Here is a 20,935-nt window from a genome sequence, read left to right on the forward strand (position 1 = left end):
CAGCCTGGGTGACAGAGCGAGACTCTGTCTCAAAAACAAAACAAAACAAAACAAACAAACAAAAACACCAGCGCACTTAGTGCTTTTTTCTTTCTTTCCTTCTTTCTTTTTTTTTTTCTTTTGAGATGGGATCTTGCTCTGTCGCCCAGGCTGGAGCACAATGGCACGATCTCGGCTCACTGCAACCTCTGCCTCCCAGGTTCAAGCAGTTCTCCTGCCTCAGCCTCCCGAGTAGCTGGGATTACAGGCATGTGCTACCACACCCAGCTAATTTTTGTATTTTTAGTAGAGGCGGGGTTTCGCCTTGTTGGCCAGGCTGGTCTCGAACTCCTGACCACAGGTGATCCGCCTGCCTCAGCCTCCCAAGGTACTGAGATTACAGGCATGAGCCACCACACCCGGCTGCGATTTTTAAGATTATAATACGTTGTTATTAAGTATAATTGCCTTATTGTACAGTAAATCTCTTGAATTTATCCCTCCTGACTGAAATTTTGTTCCTTTGACCAACATCTCCCCAACATCACCCCCTCCAGCTCCTGGTAACCACCATTCTATGCTCTGCTTCTGTGAGTTCAGCATTTTTAGATTCCATATGTAAGTGAAATCATACAGTATTTGTCTTTTTGTTCCTGGCTTATTTTATTACCATAATGTCCTCTAGGTTGATAAATGTTATTACAAATGACAGGATTTTCCTTCCTTTCCTAAGGAAAGTATGTCATTGTTTATATATACCACATCTTCTTTATTCATTTGTCCATTGATGGACAGGTAGGTTGATTCCATATCTCAGCTACTGTGAGTAATGCTGCAATGAGCATGGAAGTGCAGATATTTCTTCCATATACTGATTTTATTCCGTTTGGATATACCCAGTAGTACAATTGCTGGTTCATATGGTAGTTATATTTTTAATTTTCTGAGGAACTTCATACTGTTTTCTGTAAATGGCTGTACTAATTTTTGTTTTTACCAACAGTGTGCAAGGTGCTCTTTTCTCTACATCCTTGCTAACACTTACCTTTTGTCTTTTCGGTAATAGCCATTCTAATAGGTGTGAGGTGATATATCATTTTGGTTTTAATTTGCATTTCTCTAATGACTAGTGATGTTGAGCATTTTTTCATATACCTATTGGCCATTTGTATGTCTTCTTTTGAGAAATGTCTTTTCAGATCTTTTGCCCAATGTTTCCAATCAGGTTATTTGCTTTCTTGCTATTGAGTTGTTTTGAGTTCTTTATATATTTTGGATATTAACCTCTTAGCAGATGTATGGTTTGCAAATATTTCCTCCTATTCCATAAGTGGTCTTTTTACTGTGCTGGCGGTTTCCTTTGCTGTACAGAATCCCACTTTTTCTACTTAAAATTTATCTTACGATTCTAAACCTAATATCTACATGCTCATTAAAGTGGCTTGTCACCCATATACAGCTGTGTTTTATTAACATTTTGACTTTTTTGTCTTCTTTTCCTTGCGCATAGATGATTCCCCCTTTCTTTTACAATATTATTATTATAAAAGCACTATGTGAATAGATTCTCACTGTTAAGTGTTTTAAACTGTGGTAGAATACAGAACGCAATAGGAAAGTCTCTCTTCATCATCTGCAGTGCTCCCTAACACAGAGATTTTCTTCCCCAGAGGTGAGCACAATCAGCATTTGGTGAGTGCTCTTCCAGTCACCATCCATTTGCAGCGGTGTGTATTATACAATGCCTTCTTTCGTCGCTTTCTTATAACATGGTATGTCTTGGGAAATCTTTCCATGTCAGGACTTAAAGGTCCAATTTGTTTTCTTTCCTTTGTTATTACTGTTGTCGTTGATGGTTACGTAGTATTGTATTTTAGGAGTATACCTAATATTTTACTGCTTGCCTATGGATAGACATTAAGTTTTTAGTTTTTAACTCTTACAATGAAGCAGTCCTGTACCAGCATGTGTCTTTGTGCACATGTGCAAGTATTTCTGTTGGGTAATTGCCTGGAAGTGGAATTGCTGGCTCAAAGTGAATCCTATTTTTGGTTTTGGTCGATGGTGCCAAATTGTCTTCCCAAAGGAATTTACCAGTTTAAACTCATACCAGTGGTGTTTAAGAGTGCTTGTTTTCCTAATATTTAGAAACACTTGATAATATCATTATGTTCATTTTTGTCAATGAATGTTTTAATTTGCATTCTTCTAGATTGTGTCTCTGTAGATCTGACCTTGTCTACTTTCTGCCTTTTAGTAATTCCTCAGCATTGCTGCTTACTTGATGGTGTCTTTTAAAATTTTCTTGGTGTGAATCTGTTTATCTGTCTATAGCTCTCTATCTGTGTAGGGTGGGATATCTTTTCTGTCACTTCAGGGAACTTTAGACAGGAGGTAGAGTAAACTTGTGCACTTAATCTACTCTCCTGATAAATTTCATCCTTTCTGAGCTATGACTTTATAGTATTTACAATTTTGTTTCTTTTTTCTCCTTAACATTATAATCTTTTTTTGTCTTATTACATAGCAATGTAACTGGTATATGATATTCTACTCTGTGTCTGTACTGTAGTTATAATAATTTGTCTGTTGATGCCTATTGCTAAAATTTTATTTTATTATTTATTTATTTTGAGATCGAGTCTCACTCTGTCACCTAGGCTGGAGTGTAGTGGCACGATCTTGGCTCACTGCAGCCTTCGCATTCCAGGTTCAAGCAATTCTCCTGTCTCAGCCTCCTGAGTAGCTAGGACTACAGGTGCCCGCCACCATGCCTGGCTAATTTTTGTATTTTTAGTAGAGACGAGTTTCCCTATGTTGGTCAGGCTGGTCTCAAACTTCTGACTTCAGGTGATCCACTCGCCTTGGCCTCCCAAAATGCTGGGATTACAGGTGTGAGCCACCGTACCCGGCCAAAATTTTATAAATAATATTGTTTCCAACACTAAGCATAAAGGCTCTGGGCTCAGATGGCTTTACTGGTGATTCTTTATAATTTTAGTGCTCTGTCATTGTCTTTTTTTTTTTTGAAATGGAGTTTCTCTCTGTCTCTCAGGCTGGAGTGCAGTGGTGTGATCTTGGCTCCCTGCAATCTCTGACTCCTGGATTCAAGCAATTCTTCTGCCTCATCCTCCCGAGTAGCTGGGATTATAGGTGCACACTACCACACCTAGCTAATTTTTGTATTTTTAGTAGAGGGTTTCACCATGTTGAGCAGGCTGGTGTCAAACTTCTGGCCTCAACTGATTGGCCCGCCTCAGCTTCCCAAAGTGCTGGGATTATAAGCATGAGCCATCGCACCTGGCCTGTGTCATTGATTCTTCAATATGGAAATGAGTAGACAGCTGCCCAGCTGACCTGTGACTTTAACCTAACACTGATACCATCCAGTAACAGTAGCACAAAAAGCAAGAACTTTAAATCAGTCTCAATTATGAATATAGATCCTAAATAATCTACTCTCAAGTAGATGCTCTCAAGTAGAATTTACCAATAAGGTCATAATGGAAATGGCCAATTAAGTTTACTCCAAGAATGGCTTAATATTAAGAAACCTATTGATAACATATTAGGTTGTAAAATGTGAAAAACTATTATCTCCATAGATGCAGAAAATATATTTAACCAACTATTTCTAATAACACTTTTTGGGGGAAAAAAAATAGGATACTTCCTTTACAAGTTACAGAGTATCTACCTCAAACCATTAGAGGCATTCTCATTAGAAGCAGGAACAAAACAAGTTTGCCCTCTGCTACTTGATATTATTTTAGAAGCTCTAGCCAATGCAGTAAAGTTTGCAGAAACAGAAATAAGAACTAAGGCTTTTAGGATTATTTGATATTATTTTAGAAGCTCTGGTCAATGCAGTAAGGCCAATGCAGAAACAGAAATAAGAACAAAGGCTTTGAGGATTAAGTAAGGTAACATTTCAGCTTCCCTCCTATGGTATTTTTAAGTCAGATAAGACACTCCAATTATAGATTGTTATTTTTTTAATTAATAAGACATCTTTACAAAGGAAAGGCAAAATCGTCTCTTGCATCTTAAGACACGTCTCCTGGTGCTTTTTTGTCCTTGATCCTTGCTCGTTGGCTCGTCTTGATTATCTGATCTGTGTTGAGGTCTCTCTCAAACCTTCAGTCACCAGTACAGGAGTGAGAGGTCAATACCTGTGACTGGCGGAGAGGTTTGGTTCTGTCTTTGATGACCTTTCAATGAGCTGTTTTTGCAATCCTGGGAGTACTAGAAGAACAGACTCTTAAGCGATGACACTGTTGTCTTGAAACTTGACTCTGTTCAGCAAACCATTGCAGTGTACCCTCAGTGCTATGCATCTCTGCAGTGTATAGCTGCTGTGTGTTATCAGGAGTCATTTGGAAGTAACTGGTCTGGTTGAACACCACACAGAAATCTTTACTAATTAGCTAGCTATCTCTAACTTTGGTTTGTGACTTCGGTCTGTGAAATCTATGTCTCTCTCTTTTTTTTTTCCCTGATAGCATGTGGAGAGGGCCAAATGTGAACTGTGTTGACAGCACTGGCTACACACCCCTGCACCATGCTGCTTTGAATGGCCATAAGTAAGTATCAATGTACTACATTCCTGCCTTCACCCTTCAGAACCCAGGCCTTCACGTTGCCTTTTCATTTCCTAGAAAAGTTTGCTGGCTGAGCTTAGTGGCTCATGCCTGTAATCCCAGCACTTTGGGAGGCCGAGGTGGGAGGATCACATGAAGCTGAGTTTGAGAGCAGCCTGGGCAACAAAGCAAGCCTCCATCTCCACAAAAAAAAAAAAAAAAAAATTTTTTTAATTAATCAGGCGTGGTAGCATGCCTGAAGTCCTAGCTACTCAGGAGGCTAAGGCAGGAGGATTGCTTAAGCCCAGGAGTTTGAGGCTGCAGAGAGCTATGATTGTGCCATTGCATTCCAGCCTGGTTGACAGAGTGACCCTATCTCTAAAAAACAAAAACAAAACAAAGGTTTGCTAAGCGGTGGCACTGAGAAACAGAGAAAAACAAACGTAAGTTCAGTTCATTCAGCATTTCTGTGTCTTTCTTTCATGTATAATTTAAACATCCTTCCCCACCCTACCCACCAAAAAATCTTCAGCCAAGAGTTAAGTTTTACCTTTTCTTCTGCTTGTTCTTTTTCCCTCTGGAATGTTCCAGTGCTACATAATGTTCTAGGTATGATGATCAAATTTGGGGCAGCCAGAACATAAAGGGGCTGGAATCTATTAGGTAACTAACTGCTCAATAAACTGAAAATAGATTAAGTGGTCATGAGAAAGCTGTCTTCTGTTTCAATAGTTATTTATTTACTCTCTCTTCTTGCCTGCCATTCTTTCCTCATAAAATTAGCCCTGTACACAAGAACCCTTTTTAAGGGGAAAAAAATACATTAAATGGCCTATGTAATTCTCCTGAGTATAGAGAAGTTATTAGGAACTGGGTGGGATTTGTGTGGAACGTTCTCTGGAGGAGGCATGCTTTGGGGAGAATTTGAGAGAGAAGGCATAGGCTTAAGTGATTGGGCACTGCCTTTCAGGTTGCCCAGCAAAGGGGCAGGCATTGTCGGGGAGCACAGTGAGTGGGTTTGCCAGGATGTTGAAGAATGTAAACCAGAGTGTAACAGAATAGAAGGTGTTAAAGGAAAACAAGTACTATAGGCAATAAGTAGCAGCAGTGTCGTTTTTTTGTTTTTGTTTTTGTTTTTGAGATGGAGTTTCATTCTTGTTGCCCAGGCTGGAGTGCAGTGGCATGATCTTGGCTCACTGCAACCTCCACCTCCCGGGTTCAAGCAATTCTCCTGCCTCAGCCTCCTGAGTAGCTGGGATTACAGGCGCCCGCCACCACACCCAGCTAATTTTTGTATTTTTAGTAGAGACGGGGTTTCACCATGTTGGTCAGACTGGTCTCAAACTCCTGACCTCAGGTGATCCACCTGCCTCAGCCTCCCAAAGAGCTGGGATTACAGGCATGAGCCACTGCGCCCGGCCAGCAGTGTAGTTTTTATGAGGAGGGATTATTGGAATCATTTTAGATTTTGCTGAGCAAGGAGCTCCAGAGCCCTCTACCTTAGAGTATTTTGTGTCACTTGTCCGATATTTGACCCACCCTAATTGACTCCAACATACCAAAAAGAGGCAGTGGTTGTTTCCTTCAACATTAAACATTTCTAAAATATACTGAATATGATCATTAAGTCTTTTCTGTAGCCATCTTAGATATAGCTAAAAAGAAATCTATAGAGAACACTGTTCCCATATATAGTGGGGTAATCTGAATTAAAGTGAATCTTGAACTTAAATGACTATAGTTTGTTAGCCAAGTTCATTTCCAGATGCTGTTTTGATTTACAGTGGGGATTTTCTTTGACCTCACATTCATAGGGATAATTATATACTGGTATGTGTTTAATTAGTGCTGTCACCAGGAAAAAAGCAAGTTCCTCTTTCTGGGGATATCAAATGATAACATATGTGTCTGGCTTACTTTTGCAATAACTATTTATTTATTTATTTATTTATTTTGAGAGAGAGTCTCGCTCTGTCACCCAGGCTGGAGTGCGATGGCGTAATCTCAGCTCACTACAACCTCTGCCTCCTGGGTTCAAGCAATTCTCCCTGCTTCACCCTCCCAAGTAGCTGGAATTATAGGTGCCCACCACCACACCCAGCTAATTTTTGTATTTTTAGCAGAGACGGGCTTTCGCCATGTTGGCCAGGCTGGTCTTGAACTCCTGACCTCAGGTGATCCACCCGCCTCAGCCTTCCAAAGTGCTGGGATTACAGGCGTGAGCCACTCTGCCCAGCCTGCAGTAACTTTTGTTCTGCTTGGCCTCTCTGCTTTCAGCTCCTACATCACTAAATGCTCTGAATAATGTGGTGAATAATAATATTTGTCTTGTATGATTACTTTTATGTAAATTCAACACTTGAATGCTGTTTAAACATGATAAACAAGGAAACAGGTTTGGACAAAGAGTCCAGACATTTTCAAAGTAGTAGAAAACAGACGGATTACCAAGAAAGCCTAAACAGAGAGGTGATGAGTCAGCATAGCATGGCTCAAGGTGGTTCTGCTGCATATCAGCAGCTGTACAAGTAGCTCATGGAATAAAAGGAAAAGCTGGGGTGGTGAGCTCAGGTAGAGACACAGGAGCCAAATGAGATATCTGTGAAAGGGCTTTGTGCCATATAGGTGTAAAGAGCTGTTAGCTGGAAAGACTTCTGAGTTCTACCAACTCATGATTGATTTTTGCCTTCTAGGGATGTGGTCGAGGTTCTTCTGAGGAACGATGCGCTGACCAACGTGGCTGACTCAAAAGGCTGCTACCCTCTGCATTTGGCAGCCTGGAAAGGAGATGCCCAGATAGTGCGGTTGCTCATCCATCAAGGGCCTTCACACACCAGAGTCAATGAACAGGTCGGAAGGAAGGGAGGCTTTCCTTCCTCCATTCAGCTATAGCCAGATGTGGCAACCCCATCACCATCTTAGCCCCATAGTTCAAATCTCAGAGAACCAGCTCTTCCTTTTCTTTCTTTTTGATAATCAGTTCCTTAGCATGGAACCACCTCTTCCATACCCTAATTGTGATTCCCCTCTTCCCAGTTCTACTCTTCTTAGTAGATCTTATACTATGAGGATGTATTTTATATGCATTTGACTCATGCATATTTGGAATAGTACTAGAATAAAAATGTATACACAGTCAGCCCTTCGTTTCCAGGACCTCCCCATAGATACCAAAATCCAAGGATGCTCAAGTCCCTTATGTAAAACGGCAAAGTAACATTAGCTGTCTCTGTCTGTGGGTTCCGCATGTGCAGACTTAACTAACCATGGATGGAAACCTGTGGATATGAAGGGCCAACTGTATTCACTTTATGTGCAAAATTTGAAATAATGCAAACCCTGCAAAATTGCATGGAGTCAGTTTCAAGCTAGTGAGCTTAATTAACTGTGGGCTGGGTGTGGTGACTCATGCTTGCAATCCCAGCACTTTGGAAGGCTGAGGCAGGAGAATTGCTTGAGGCCAGGAGTTTGAGACCAGCCTGAGCAACACAGTGAGGAGCCCCAACCCCCCAGGCCCCATCTCTATAAAAAATTAAAAAAAAAAAGGCCGGATGTGGTGGCACACACCTGTAGTCCCAGCTACTCAGGAGGCTGAGACGGGGGATCACTTAAGCCCAGGAGTTTGAGGGTGCAGTGAGCCATGATCATGCCACTGCACTGCAGCCTGGGTGACAGAGTGAGACCCTGTCTCAAAAGTAAAAGTAAATTCTGTTTATGCCATTGACATGGCAATGTAACTTTCCCAGTGTTTGTCAGTACTGTGTAAACCATGCTCTTGTTTTACATACATCAGAACTTGCAGCAGTATAAGTACTCATGCTAGTGCCAAAAAATGAACTCACAAATCAGGAACATGTGAGGGGAGGTCAGAGGTGATTCAGTGGAATGAAGATCATTTCCATGATGTCCTCCGAGTAAGCATGCTTTGAAAAAGCAGAGATGATTCTTAGAAAATGAAAAAGGCAGGATTTGAGCAAAAATAACCGTATAATGGCCATGGATTTAGTTACTCTGAGAATATACCTGTTCTTTACATTTATATCTTTGGAAAAAATTGTACTTGGATTATGCAAGTTTTAAACAAGCCTCTTACAAATACAACTCCCTGTCATTTGGGTTGGAAGTTGTGTGCAAGTTTGAGAGGAGACGGGCATTCCTTATATGATAAGCCATTCTCCCCTTTCCTCTCTCTGCTCTGAACTGAAGCAGATACTTTTCTCAGTTCCTAGAAGGAGGGAGATATTGATGTTTCTCAGTAAGCTTAGGACTATTTTTCTAATGACTTTGCCGAGAGGGGATTGTTAAATTACCTGTAGGATTAGATCAAAGTTTTCCCTCAAAAAATAGGAAATTATCCTGGCAAGTCCATCTGTCAGGAGACTCATGCAGCTCTCAGTTAGCTGTTAAAAGCATGACTTTGATTCTGAGGGGGGCAGCTTCATTCTGAGACATGAGAAAATTAAAATAGTGCTCCCAAATCTCTTGATTTGGAGATTGTGTGTATATAGCTGTTAATCAGCCTTCCTTTCCCCTTTTGGGCTGTATTTTCTGGGTAGGTGAGCAACAGACATTTAAAATCATCAGTGAGGATGTTTGTTTATAACATTTGGGAATGAAAAGTATCTGTTTAGAATTACTTCTTTAGAATCTAAGTGCAATTTTACTCCTTCTAGCTAAAGTGGTCATTTCTCTTCTCTGGAGGAAATGCATAATGAAGTTTGCTTGTAACTAATATTCTTCAATGTTGGAAAGACTGGTCATCCATTAAAGTCCTTCTCATTTAAGAAATTTTCAGCAACCATTTCTAATCCTCTTTGCTCACGTTTGCCTTGAAACACAGCTGCTTGGATTTTTGAGCTACTTGAGTGTGCTAGCTTAACCTGCTCACAGCTGCCTCCTGCTTGGAGTATCAGTTGATAAGTGGGACCCCAGCCCAGTGCTTTGAGTATCTGGTAGGCAGGTGGTGGGCAGAAGCTGGGCAAGATGTCTGCAGTAGCTTGAAGACTTTAATGGATCTAGCTAGTGGTTACAAGTACTATATTGATTCATTTTAAAACCATTAATATGGTTCCAGTAGGATGCTTAGATTAAAGGGGGGTAAGAGTAAGGTGCTCTGGAGGTTGTCTTTCTTATTAACTTCCCTTTGAGGCATCCAGAGGGCAGATTCAAGTTGTTCTAGGGTTGGGTTCCCTCAGGGCTGTGTATTGCTTTGATATATTTCATCCATTTTGTCATCACTTTTTCTTTTCCTCTCCTTTTTGTAGAATGCTCTTGAGATCAAAGAACTCAAAAAGTACGGCCCCTTTGACCCTTATATCAATGCCAAGGTGTGTACTTTGCTGCCAGGAATTCTCTGCATCATTTCTCCAAGCTGTACCTCCTCTTTGGTCCTCTCCGCTTCTACTCTTGTCCACTCAGGGTCCTCCTCATCATGCTGACTGTTGTCTGCTTCAGTCCATCTGCTTTTGGCTTGTCTGGGAATGGGAAAATGCAGCTGCAGTGGGTTTTGGCTTTATTTTTAAAACCCATACTAATTTGGGAAATGGTGGGTGGTTTTTTCTGGAATATTTGAAATGGCAGGAATGGGGAAATAGAAAGGACCATATTACATGCTTAATTTACAATTTTGATTCTTAAAATTTTTTAAATGTAGTTAAGAGATGTCAAATTATCTTACTTTTTAAATAAGCATAGAAAAAATGATTAAGTTGTACCTCCTGGAATTAAAAAATATTTTTAACCTACTTTCTATCTGTCTTTTGAAATGGAATCTGATTTTCAGGTTTCAATAGCTAATGGTGGAGATGTGGAGGAAAGGACATGGTTGATCCGTTTTATTCCTTTAAAAGCTGTTGCATGACTCTTCTCTCATCTCCTGGAGTTTGTGCATCTCTGCCTGATGCTTTAAAACCACGACCCAATATCTCCAGCCATTAGCTTCTCTCTGCTTGATCACTCTTGACCCAGGAAGCGTTCTGAAATAGGAAACTATGTTGCAGGACCAAGGGAGCCTTAGTCTCCCTCCCTGTGAGGCTGGGACAAAGAGTAGTCTGATGGGCCTGGTGATGAACAGGCCAGCCCTGTCTGCCCCTCAGCCTTTACCACATCTGAGCAGCAGAGCTTGTTCATTGGGTGATGGTGTTAGCCTCTTTCCTTGGTGCTCTCACCCGCTGGTTTTGGTCAAAGATTTTATTCAGATGAAGTTTGCTTTTTGGCAACAGTCTGGAGTGTGCTCAAGACACTACATTATCCACATTAGCTACCTTTTACTTGTTCTGAAAACAGCTGCCTTGGGGAAGAGAAACATAAGGTACTTCTGTATGTTTCCAAACACAAGGCAGATATTTCATGCTTTTGAGAAATAGTGATTTAGCAAAGGAAGCCCCCTATGGGCTGGACCTAGGAAGGCCCTGTGGGAGATTTTGTTCAGCTGTTGGGTCTTAATGGTAGAGAAGCAATTTGACCTTAGGTAGTGGAGCACATCAGCTTTGTTTTGGCTTACTCTTTCTTACCTCCTTCCCCTTCCCTTCCCCTTCCCCTTGCCCTCCCCTTCCCTTCCCCTTCCCCTTCACTTCCCCTTCCCTTCCCCTTCCCCTTCCCTTCCCCTTCCCCTTCCCTTCCCCTTCCCCTTCCCTTCCCCTTCCCCTTGCCTTCCCCTTCCCCTTCCCCTTCCCTTGTGCTTCCCCTTCCCCTTCCTCTTCCCTTTCCCTTCCCTTCCCCTTCCCCTTCTCTTCCCCTTCCCTTCCCCTTCCATTCCCCTTCCATTCCCCTTCCCTTCCCCTTCCCCTTCCCCTTCCCTTCCCCTTCCCCTTCCTCTTCCCTTCCCCTTCCCCTTCCCCTTCCCCTTCCCTTCCTCTTCCCCTTCCCCCTTCCCCTTCCCTTCCCCTTCCCCTTCCCTTCCCCTTCCCCTTCTCCTTCCCGTTCCCGTTCCCCTTCCCCTTCCCCTTCGCTTCCCCTTCCCTTCCCCTTCCCCTTCCCTTCCCCTTCCCTTTCCCTTCCCCTTCCCCTTTCTCTTCCCTTCCCCTTCCTCTTCCCTTCCCCTTCCATTTCCCTTCCCCTTCCATTTCCCTTCCCCTTCCCCTTCCATTCCCCTTCCCCTTCCCTTCCCCTTTCCTTTCTTTCTTTCATTTTAAAAAGGGTCTCCCTCTGTTGCCCAGGCTGAAATGCAGTGATTGGCCTGCTCTTTAAATTCTGTTTTCTAGTCTTCAGAATAGGAAGATACTCTTATCTTAGTTTTTTTGTTTTTTGTTTTGGAAGTAGAGTGATAGAGTGAAAAACTCATAAGTCATAGGCTTTCATGTCAGACCAGAGTTTAAGTTCTGGGGTGCGACTTATTAGTTTTGTTGACTTAAGCAAGTTACTTAATTTCTCTGAGCCTCAGTTTCCTCTTCTGTAAAATACGGCACTATAATCTACCTTGCTGGATTGTTTTGGAGTTTAAATAAGATAATATATATAAAGTAAAAATATCTGGTAACTAGTAATATTTGAGATACTAATTTTTTAAAGTGTATGTAATGTATTTCTGCAAAGGCATTTTTGGAATCTGTTTTTGTTACTAGTAGATGACGCTTAATGAAACATTATTCAGTTAGTCTATTCAGAGTTTTCTTTTATGGGGAGGAAACTTGAAGTGATTGTTTTCCCAACAGTGGTTAATTTAGTGAGCTTATAAAGCTTTGATAAAGGGTAAGACTTTGGTTCTTGAAAGTACATTTTCCTATCCTTTAATTTTGCACATATAAAATAAAATTAGTTTAAATGTAGTAAGAACATACTTCTTTCTTTGGAAATAATTCCCTTTGCCTCTTCCCTGAAAGGCCAATTGATGCAAACTACATTAAGAGTAAAGCTGAGGCCAGGTGCTGGAATTACAGGCATAATCCCAGCACTTTGGGAGGCTGAGGCTGGTGGATTACCTGAGGTCAGGGATTCGAGACCAGCCTGGCCAACATGGCAAAACCCCATCTCCACTAAAAATACAAAAATTAGCTGGATGTGGTGGCATGTGCCTATAATCCCAGCTACTCGGGAGGCTGAGGCAGGAGAATCGCTTGAACCCAGGAGGCAGAGGTTGCAGTGAGCTGAGATTGTGCCACTGCACTCCAGCCTGGGCAACAGAGTGAGACTCAAAAAAAAAAAACAACAAAAAAAAGGAAAGCTAGCCAGTGTAGTGGCTCACATTTGTAATCCCAGAATTTGGGAGGCTGGGGCTGAAGATTGCTTGAGCCCAGGAATTTGGGACCAGCCTGGGCAATATAATGCGATCCCATCTCTAGAAAAAATAAAAAATTAGCCAGGCATAGTGGATAGTGGTACATGCCTGTATCCCAAATTCTCAGGAGGCTGAGGTGGGAGGATAGTTTGAGCCCAGGAGGTTGAGGCTGCAGTGAGCAGTGATCACTGTCACCTGGGCAACAGAGTGAGACCCTGTCTCAAAAAAAAAATAATAATAATAATAGAAACAGAGAGGTAAAGCTGTTTGGGTTGTGCTGAGAATGCAAACCCTTCTTGAGCTGATTCAAATCTAACCTCCTTTGACCAGGCATGGTGACTCACACCTGTAATCCCAGCACTTTGGGAGGCTGAGGCTGGCGGATTACTTGAGGTCAGGAGTTCGAGACCAGCCTAGCCAACATGGTGAAACCCCGTGACTACTAAAAATACAAAAATTAGCTAGGCGTGCTGGTGCATGCCTGTAATCCCAGGTACTCGGGAGGCTGAGGCAGGAGAATCACTTGAACCCGAGAGGCAGAAGTTGCAGTGAGCCAAGGTTACGCCACTGCACTCCAACCTGGATGACAGAGGAGACTCCATCTCAAAAAAAAAAAAAAAGAAAAGAAAAACTGATCTGATCCCCCTAGGTTTTGTCCTGATTCAGTGGATTTTTATAGATCTGGCTTATGTCTAGGAATTGTTTTGTTAAAGTACTTTTGAGTGCTAAGTTCTATCAGGCACCTGTACAAATTAAGAAGTCTCAGATGGCTTATTTTGGGAGCAGAAGTAGTTTTTAGGAGCTTTCATGTTCTTTTTTGACATTTGGGGCCTTTTTCAACAAGTCGGTGTAAACCAGCCAAATGTAAATTATCCTTAGCTAAGGCAGAACCATGAAAATTGCGCATTTTCCCCCTCTTAACAATTCTTCCTTAGTCTGAGTCATAAAATGAGTAACAATCAAATTAATATTAGGGCAGATCTATTTTTTTGGTACATTTAAAATGATTTCACAGTCTTAGAACTGAAAGGGACTTGGAATTTTATCTAGACCAGTTGCCTCCAAATATAATCAACCTTTCTGGTTGCATTAGTATCACCTGCAAGCTTCTAAAAAACTTTTTATTAAAAAAAAAAACTTGTAACTTAAAGTTTTAAGAATAATGCCATGAACTATGGTACACTCTTCTTGATACTACAGTGTTAACATTTTGCTACCTTTGCTTTTTCTCTTTCTGTGTGTGTGCGTGTGTGTGTGTGTGTGTGTGTATGCAATAATTGTTGTCACTGATGAAATATTTGATATTAAGTCATGGACATTATGACCCTTTAATCCTAAACACTTCCATTTTGGTATTAGTTAGTTCTTTGACCTAAATCTCCTAAGAACAAGGACATTCGCTTATAAAGCCACAATACATTTATTACATTTGGAAAATTCAATATTGATACAATACCATTATCTAATATAGAATCCATGTTCAAGTTTTACCAGTTGTCTCAAAAATGCCCTTTAGAGCAATTTTTTTATGATCGAGAATCCAGTCCAGGATCATACATATTAATAATATGGAACAGTTCCTCAGCCTTTCTTAGCCTTTCATGACATGGATGGTTTTTAAGAGCACAGGGCAGTTGTTTTGTATACTGTCTTTCAATTTAGCTTTGTTTGATATTTCCTTATGATTAGATTCTGGGTATACATTTTTGGCAGGAGCGCCATGGAAGTGGTATTATGTATGTCCTTTTTAGTGCTTTGCATCAACAAGGCACATGACGTTGGTTTGTCTCATTCTTGATGATTATGATTGATTGCTTAAGTTGGTGCCTACAAATCTGGGGTAAACCTACTACTAGCATTTTAGCATTTTTTTTTTTTTTTTAGTTCCCATGTAATTCTAAAAGCTGGTTTGAGAACCACCAATTTAGGCCAACCTTCCACATAGAGCAGGAATCTTTCTGTCATTTGAAAGGTGACCCTCTACCCTGTATTTTAATTATTTGCTTGTTTTCCCTAATAACAAACAGAACTCATTACTACTTGGCAGCCTGTTTTTGGATTCCATTGAGTTTTGGTTTGTTGAGTTTGATTGGCATCTATCTTCCTAAACCTTCCATTTTTTTTTGGATCAGAGTTCTGCTTTCCAGAACAATACAGAGTAAGTCTAACTCTTCTTCCACATGATGGACTTGCTTTCATGCTTCTCCTGTGTCCTTTCAATCTCAGACCTAGTTTTTCCTTTCTTTCCATTATGGTATGTTTTTCTAGGGCCTGTACTTTCATTGCTGCAGATAGCTATAGGCCAGGTGTCCCTAACTTCAGTATCTGCCAACAAGGGGTAAGTGTGCAGTTGGGCTGTAATCTGAGCACTAGGAGGTGATAGTCCTGAAATAGTTCCAAGAGGAGAAAGGTCGGGAAAAAGTTTCTTTCTTCCTTTTTTTTTTTGAGATGGAGTCTCACTCTGTCACCCAGGCTGGAGTGCAGTGGTGCAATCTTGGCTCACTACAACCTCTGCCTCCCAGGTTTAAGCGATTCTCCTGCCTCAGCATCCTGAGTAGGTGGGATTACAGGCAAGCACCACCACACCCAGCTAATTTTTGTATTTTTGGTGGAGACAGGGTTTCACTGTGTTGTCCAGGGGGTCTCTATCTCCTGACCTCATGATCTGCCCACTTCGGCTTCCCACACTGCTGGAATTACAGGCATAAGCCACCGCACCCAGCCAGAAGTGGGTCTTAAGATGAGTAGGAATGGAGAATTTGTGCAAAAGCATTGGGGGAAATTTGGGCTATTTCCTCTCACTCCATTTTCTCAGTCCAGATTAGTAGTAATAGGATTTTGGAAACTCTGGAGGTATTGTGAACACCTGTAGTGAGATTTGGAAGGTGTGACAGGGAAACATTCCAGATGATCAGGAGTCTGTGCTGCTCCTTAGAATCCTTTCTTTTCTTGTGAGTGTATTAACCAGCACTTAATAATAGTTTCCTAGGCCTGCGAGGCGCGGTAGCTCACGCCTGTAATCCCGGCACTTTGGGAGGCCGAGGCGGGCAGATCACCTGAGGTCGGGAATTCAAGAACAGCCTGACCAACATAGAGAAACCCCGTCTCTACTAAAAATACAAAATTAGCTAGGCGTGGTGGCACATATCTGTAATCCCAGCTACTAGGGAGGCTGAGGCAGGAGAATCGCTTGAACCTGGGAGGCGGAGGTTGCGGTGAGCCGAGATCATGCCATTGCACCCCAGCCTGGGCAACAAGAGCGAAACTCCGTCTCAAAAAAAAAAAAAAAAAAAAGAGTTTCCTAGACCTTACCCTCTGAGGTGCTACTTTGGCAAGTCTGAGATTGGACCTCCTACTAGTTTTTTTGTTTGTTTGTTTTTTTGAGATGGAGTCTTGTTCTGTCGCCCAGGCTGGAGTGCAGTGGCGCAATCTCGGCTCACTGCAACCTCCGCCTCCTGGGTTCACGCCATTCTCTTGCCTCAGCCTCCCGAGTAGCTGGTACTACAGGTGCCCGCCACCACGCCCGGGTAATTTTTTGTATTTTTAGTGGAGACGGGGTTTCACTGTGTTAGCCAGGATGGTCTCGATCTCATGACCTCGTGATCCGCCTGCCTCAGCCTTCCAAAGTGCTAGGATTACAGGCATGAGCCACCGTGCCCGGCCCCTACTAGTTATTTTTAAGCTCCCATGTAATTCCAAAATGAAGCCAGTTTGAGAATCACTGATAGTTCTTGCCCTGATAGTTGTCAGGCTCAAAAAGCCTACAGTAATAAGAGCTTATCGTGATGGCTTGTGTCAGTGATGGATGTGGTCACCACAGATATAATAAACTTGGGTATTACAGTTACCAGACCATGTCTGGCATGACTGAAACCTAAGTAAGATGCTCCCTATACTGTGTCTATGAGTGTAACTTTCTGCAGAGATGTGGTTAGACCATTTTTAACATGAGGCAGGAAATTTGCCAGTAGTGATTATGACCTTGCCTTTAGCAGGGCAGCTTTGTGAGAGCTGCTTTCATTCTGGCGAAGAAGAAATAGAGAAAAGTTTTTTTGTTTTTTTGGTTTTTTTTTTTCTTTGCTGGATGGTTTAGACTTTTACAGTTCTTTAGCCCTAATGGCATACTTTTTATAAAATCAAGGACAATTTATTCTGGTTGTTGGGAGACAACTTGGATATAAAAGAGACAGTAGTATTTGCTTCAGAGTAAATAGTTTTTCTGGATTGGAATTTTAATAAGAATAAGCTGACTTTCTTGGCTCTTTCTATCACACTCATCTTGAGATGTACAACCTGGAGAATCCTTTTAAACTTCTTTGGGTTACTACTCTGCCCCAGAATTACTCCACAGAAAGATCCTGTGAGTTTTTGTTAATGTAGGTGTTGGTTCATCAGGAGAAAGTGATAATCAACCAGAGAAATGTTGGGTTAAAAAAGAGAGAAATTGAAGGGACAGCTCTAAGTTTGCTTAGGAAACTCATGGCATAGCTTAATAGGGCCTTCCAAATGGGTATCCTAAAAGGTTTGTTTGGCACAGGGAGGACCTCAAAGACTTGCTTTCTGCCCAGCATTTCCCCTTCCTCCAGACTTTCAGGTTACATGGAATTTGCCCCTCAGGGCCCAGTCATATCATAGGAGGCCATGGCTGGCAGGCCGGCTGTATCCTCTGGCCAGCGAAGGCTGTTGGCACTTTCCTGACAGCTGCTCTCCTTGAGTTGTGTTTGAGCTCAGTGCAGCTTCCTCTGCATCCTCTGTTTATTTGTGTGCATTTATCTTTGCATGTGTCCTGCTACTACTTTTTCTGTCCTTATTTCATTTAAAAATTTTTCTTTGCCATCGTTCTCACCTTTTGGGGAGTTGTTCCCAGCAGCTGTGGATCTTTCTGGTATACTTGGTATAGTTGGAAAAAATGATGCAGTCAAATGCCAGATCAAAAGCAGATGGAATTGCATATGCATGTTTGGGTAATTCCTAATCCATTACTTTTAGTGTTATTAATAGAATTAAAGCAATTGCAGAAACATTTAATTTTGACCTTTTGACCACTGAAAGGTGCACAATATTGACTTAACTGACAAACCCCCTCTTAAGCTTTCTTTCCCAAAAGTAGCAGAAGCCTCCTGGATAAATTTAGGAATCTCAAAATCTTGTGGGAGAATTATTTTCATCAGTGCTTCTCAAAAAGGAGAGGTCATGGGACTTACTTTATTTCTGCTCTAATTAGACATTGTCAGTAGTAAAAGAGCATAATTGGAATGACTAACATTTTGCCTCTGGTGGTTGATAAAGCACACAATTCTCCCATTTTATCCCAAATTCTGTCTTTAGTTTGAAACAAAATTGGCATTAGAGGACTGTGGGTTGTGAGCTTGAATTGATAGCAATATTACATTTGAATATTTTGCACCTCTCACACAAAACATGCCAGCGTTTGCCTCTTTCTTACATAAGAAACATCTTCCCGTGCTGGCTGCCATTTTAATGAAGTAGATACTGCATGCGTTGCTTGGTGCAGGCTCCTGGGGTAGGCACAGTGCAGTGTCAGGGTCCCTTATTTCTCTGTGACTGAGCCCGAGTGCCCCCTTTACCTGGAAATGGCTTTTGGCTGATACCTTGAGCGATTTTTAGTCTGCTCTGTTACTTTTCACTGTTGGCTGATTGATTTGCATGCAAGAAGCTGTGCAGATGAAAAACTTTTATTAAAAAGCTTATGTGTAAGGCAATGGATGGTTGACAAATCCAGAATCAGAACCATAGGGTTGAATGCCTACAAATTGTAAAACCATTTGAAGTTTAAACTGAAATAATAGCAGTGATATTATTGGTATTCATCTTGCCAGGGCTTCCACCAAATGCCTGCCACATTTTCTTGTTCACTCTCCTTACAACCTGGAGACCCTTCCTTCATGGCACACAGGGCATTGCCAGTGTTTAAGAGATGACTTCTCCCCTCTCACAGTCACTGGGGGAAGGTGTCGCTGATTAGACCAGTCAGGCTTGTTTGTGGGGGAGTATGTCTGGATTCCGACTTTTATTAGCCCCCAAGTGTTGCTGCTATTTTTCTCATTTAAACTTCAGTGGTTTTACGAGTGGTTGTCCCAGTCAGGTGCCTGTCTGCCAGTGACCTTTCTGATGTGATCTGCTTGTTAACCCTTTAGAACAATGACAACGAGACAGCCCTGCATTGTGCAGCGCAGTATGGCCACACAGAGGTGGTGAAGGTGCTCTTAGAGGAGCTGACGGACCCCACCATGCGCAACAACAAATTCGAGACCCCTTTGGACCTGGCAGCACTGTACGGGCGACTGGAGGTGGTGAAAATGCTCCTTAATGCACACCCCAACCTCCTGAGCTGCAACACTAAGAAGCACACCCCTCTGCACTTGGCAGCAAGGAATGGCCACAAAGCCGTGGTCCAGGTCCTCCTCGATGCTGGCATGGACAGCAACTACCAGGTAGCAGGGCGGGTGGGGGCTCCTCCAATCTCAAGAGACTCAGTCATTTTGCAGAAGGCACAAGGACCATGCTGCTGGGCTGTGCTCTTTATTTAGCACGTTTCACATCATGTTTCAAATGCTTATTTGCCGACTCATTCTAATGTGACACTAAGAAACAAATGAACTCCTCAAGCAAGTCTATTATTTTTTTGTTTCTTTTCAGGGGGTAATCCGTAGTCATTAAACCCTGAAAAGATGTGCTTATGGACTGGCTCTCAAAACCAGAAAAGTTTCATTATCTTCCTATCCATGTGTTCCCACTGCCACCATTTAGCGCCTCCACAGTCTCATCAGCTTGACGTTGCCAGCAAGAAATGTCACATTTCCTTTCTTTGTTAGCCTTTCCCATTCAGATGAATAATTCCTTAGGTGTTGTGTTGACCAAACCACATTTGAAGTGAGGGTGTTTCTGTTGTACTTTTCTTCTTATTACTCCTTCCACCCAGGAAGGTGGAGTTCTGAGGCATTTCACCAGTAGATGGCTCTAAGAGTAACTGTTCAGTTATTCACACGTGGCCTGCTGGTGGCACAGAATGGCCTTGGTGTATGGGCCATGATCGTGGTTTTGGAATCCACACAAGAAAAGCTGGAAAGATAATGACAGAGGGCTTTGTGTAGTTTGTTTTATTTTGTGTCCCTTCTTGTCTGTGTCCCCTTTGTCACGTGAAGCCGCACCAAACTGTTCTGATGACATCCCGCTCTGCGCTCTCGTTTGCTTTCCAGACGGAGATGGGCAGTGCTTTGCATGAGGCTGCTTTGTTTGGCAAGACCGATGTGGTGCAAATCCTGCTGGCTGCAGGTGAGAGGTCGGCAGCGCTCTTGTCTACACAGCGTGCCAGGGTTGGGATTGTTTCTCCCTAGTCCCCTAGGGGGATTTTTGCTGGCTGTGTTTGAACTCAATGTATGTGTATCTCCACTGGTTGATTACAAGTGTGTAAACTGTTCTTGAATAGCTGGATTAAATGGCTCTGGATGAAAAATGTTGGCCATGCTGCTGACAGCCTTAAATGTCCTAAAATTTGACCCTTTTGGAGGCTGGCTTGAAAATGCTCACTCCCCTGGTCCACCTGGTGTGCCTTTCTAGGAACTGACGTCAACATAAAAGATAACCATGGACTGACTGCCCTAGACACTGTTCGGGAACTGCCTTCTCAAAAGAGCCAGCAAATAGCAGCATTAATTGAAGGTATCATCCTTTCTCCCTGTCTGGGTGACCAGGGGACACACGAATTGAACCAAGGCATTTGTATTTGGTGCAGCACTTTTTATTTTTATTTTTTGATCTTTCCATGTAGATCACATGACTGGAAAAAGAAGTACAAAAGAAGTAGATAAAACCCCCCCACCCCAGCCACCTCTCATCTCCAGTATGGACTCCATATCACAGAAGTCTCAGGGTAAGGTAACTCTCCCCTATGAGTAAAGGGGTGCTCAGCTTGAAAAGAGTTGAAAATTCGTGGGCAGAATGGAAAAATCTTAATTTAAATAATAATTTTGGGGGATTGTGAGTACTTAGTTTATATTCAGTTCATTTTTTGCCAACTACTATGTGAAGTTTTATTGGACATAGTTTATGCTTTTGACTGTGGGCCTCTTTCCTACTTTATTTTAGCCTCCACTTTTCCAGTTGGCTCTGTGAGATCTATTCTGAGATGTGTAGTAGA

General features: G+C 42.1%; 1 protein-coding gene across 10 annotated transcripts in view; it reads left to right on the forward strand.

Annotated features, from left to right (window-relative positions):
- The window catches only part of ANKS1A (ankyrin repeat and sterile alpha motif domain containing 1A), a 208,736-nt gene that overhangs the window by 73,503 nt on the left and 114,298 nt on the right, over positions 1–20,935 (forward strand). For 6 of the 10 annotated variants that reach the window (XM_011514431.4, XM_011514432.4, XM_006715036.3 and 3 more), the window contains exons 2-8: positions 4,482–4,562; positions 7,253–7,409; positions 9,824–9,886; positions 18,933–19,229; positions 19,995–20,070; positions 20,356–20,457; positions 20,567–20,668. In XM_011514431.4, coding sequence (XP_011512733.1) covers positions 4,482–4,562; positions 7,253–7,409; positions 9,824–9,886; positions 18,933–19,229; positions 19,995–20,070; positions 20,356–20,457; positions 20,567–20,668 — 878 coding nt within the window. The remainder of the gene's footprint in view (positions 1–4,481; positions 4,563–7,252; positions 7,410–9,823; positions 9,887–18,932; positions 19,230–19,994; positions 20,071–20,355; positions 20,458–20,566; positions 20,669–20,935) is intronic. The other 4 variants (XM_011514434.4, XM_011514435.4, XM_047418491.1 and 1 more) reach the window with 1 other exon arrangement.

Source organism: Homo sapiens, chromosome 6 (genome assembly GCF_000001405.40).
Source record: "Homo sapiens chromosome 6, GRCh38.p14 Primary Assembly".
In the NCBI taxonomy this organism is placed as follows: Eukaryota; Metazoa; Chordata; class Mammalia; order Primates; family Hominidae; genus Homo; species Homo sapiens.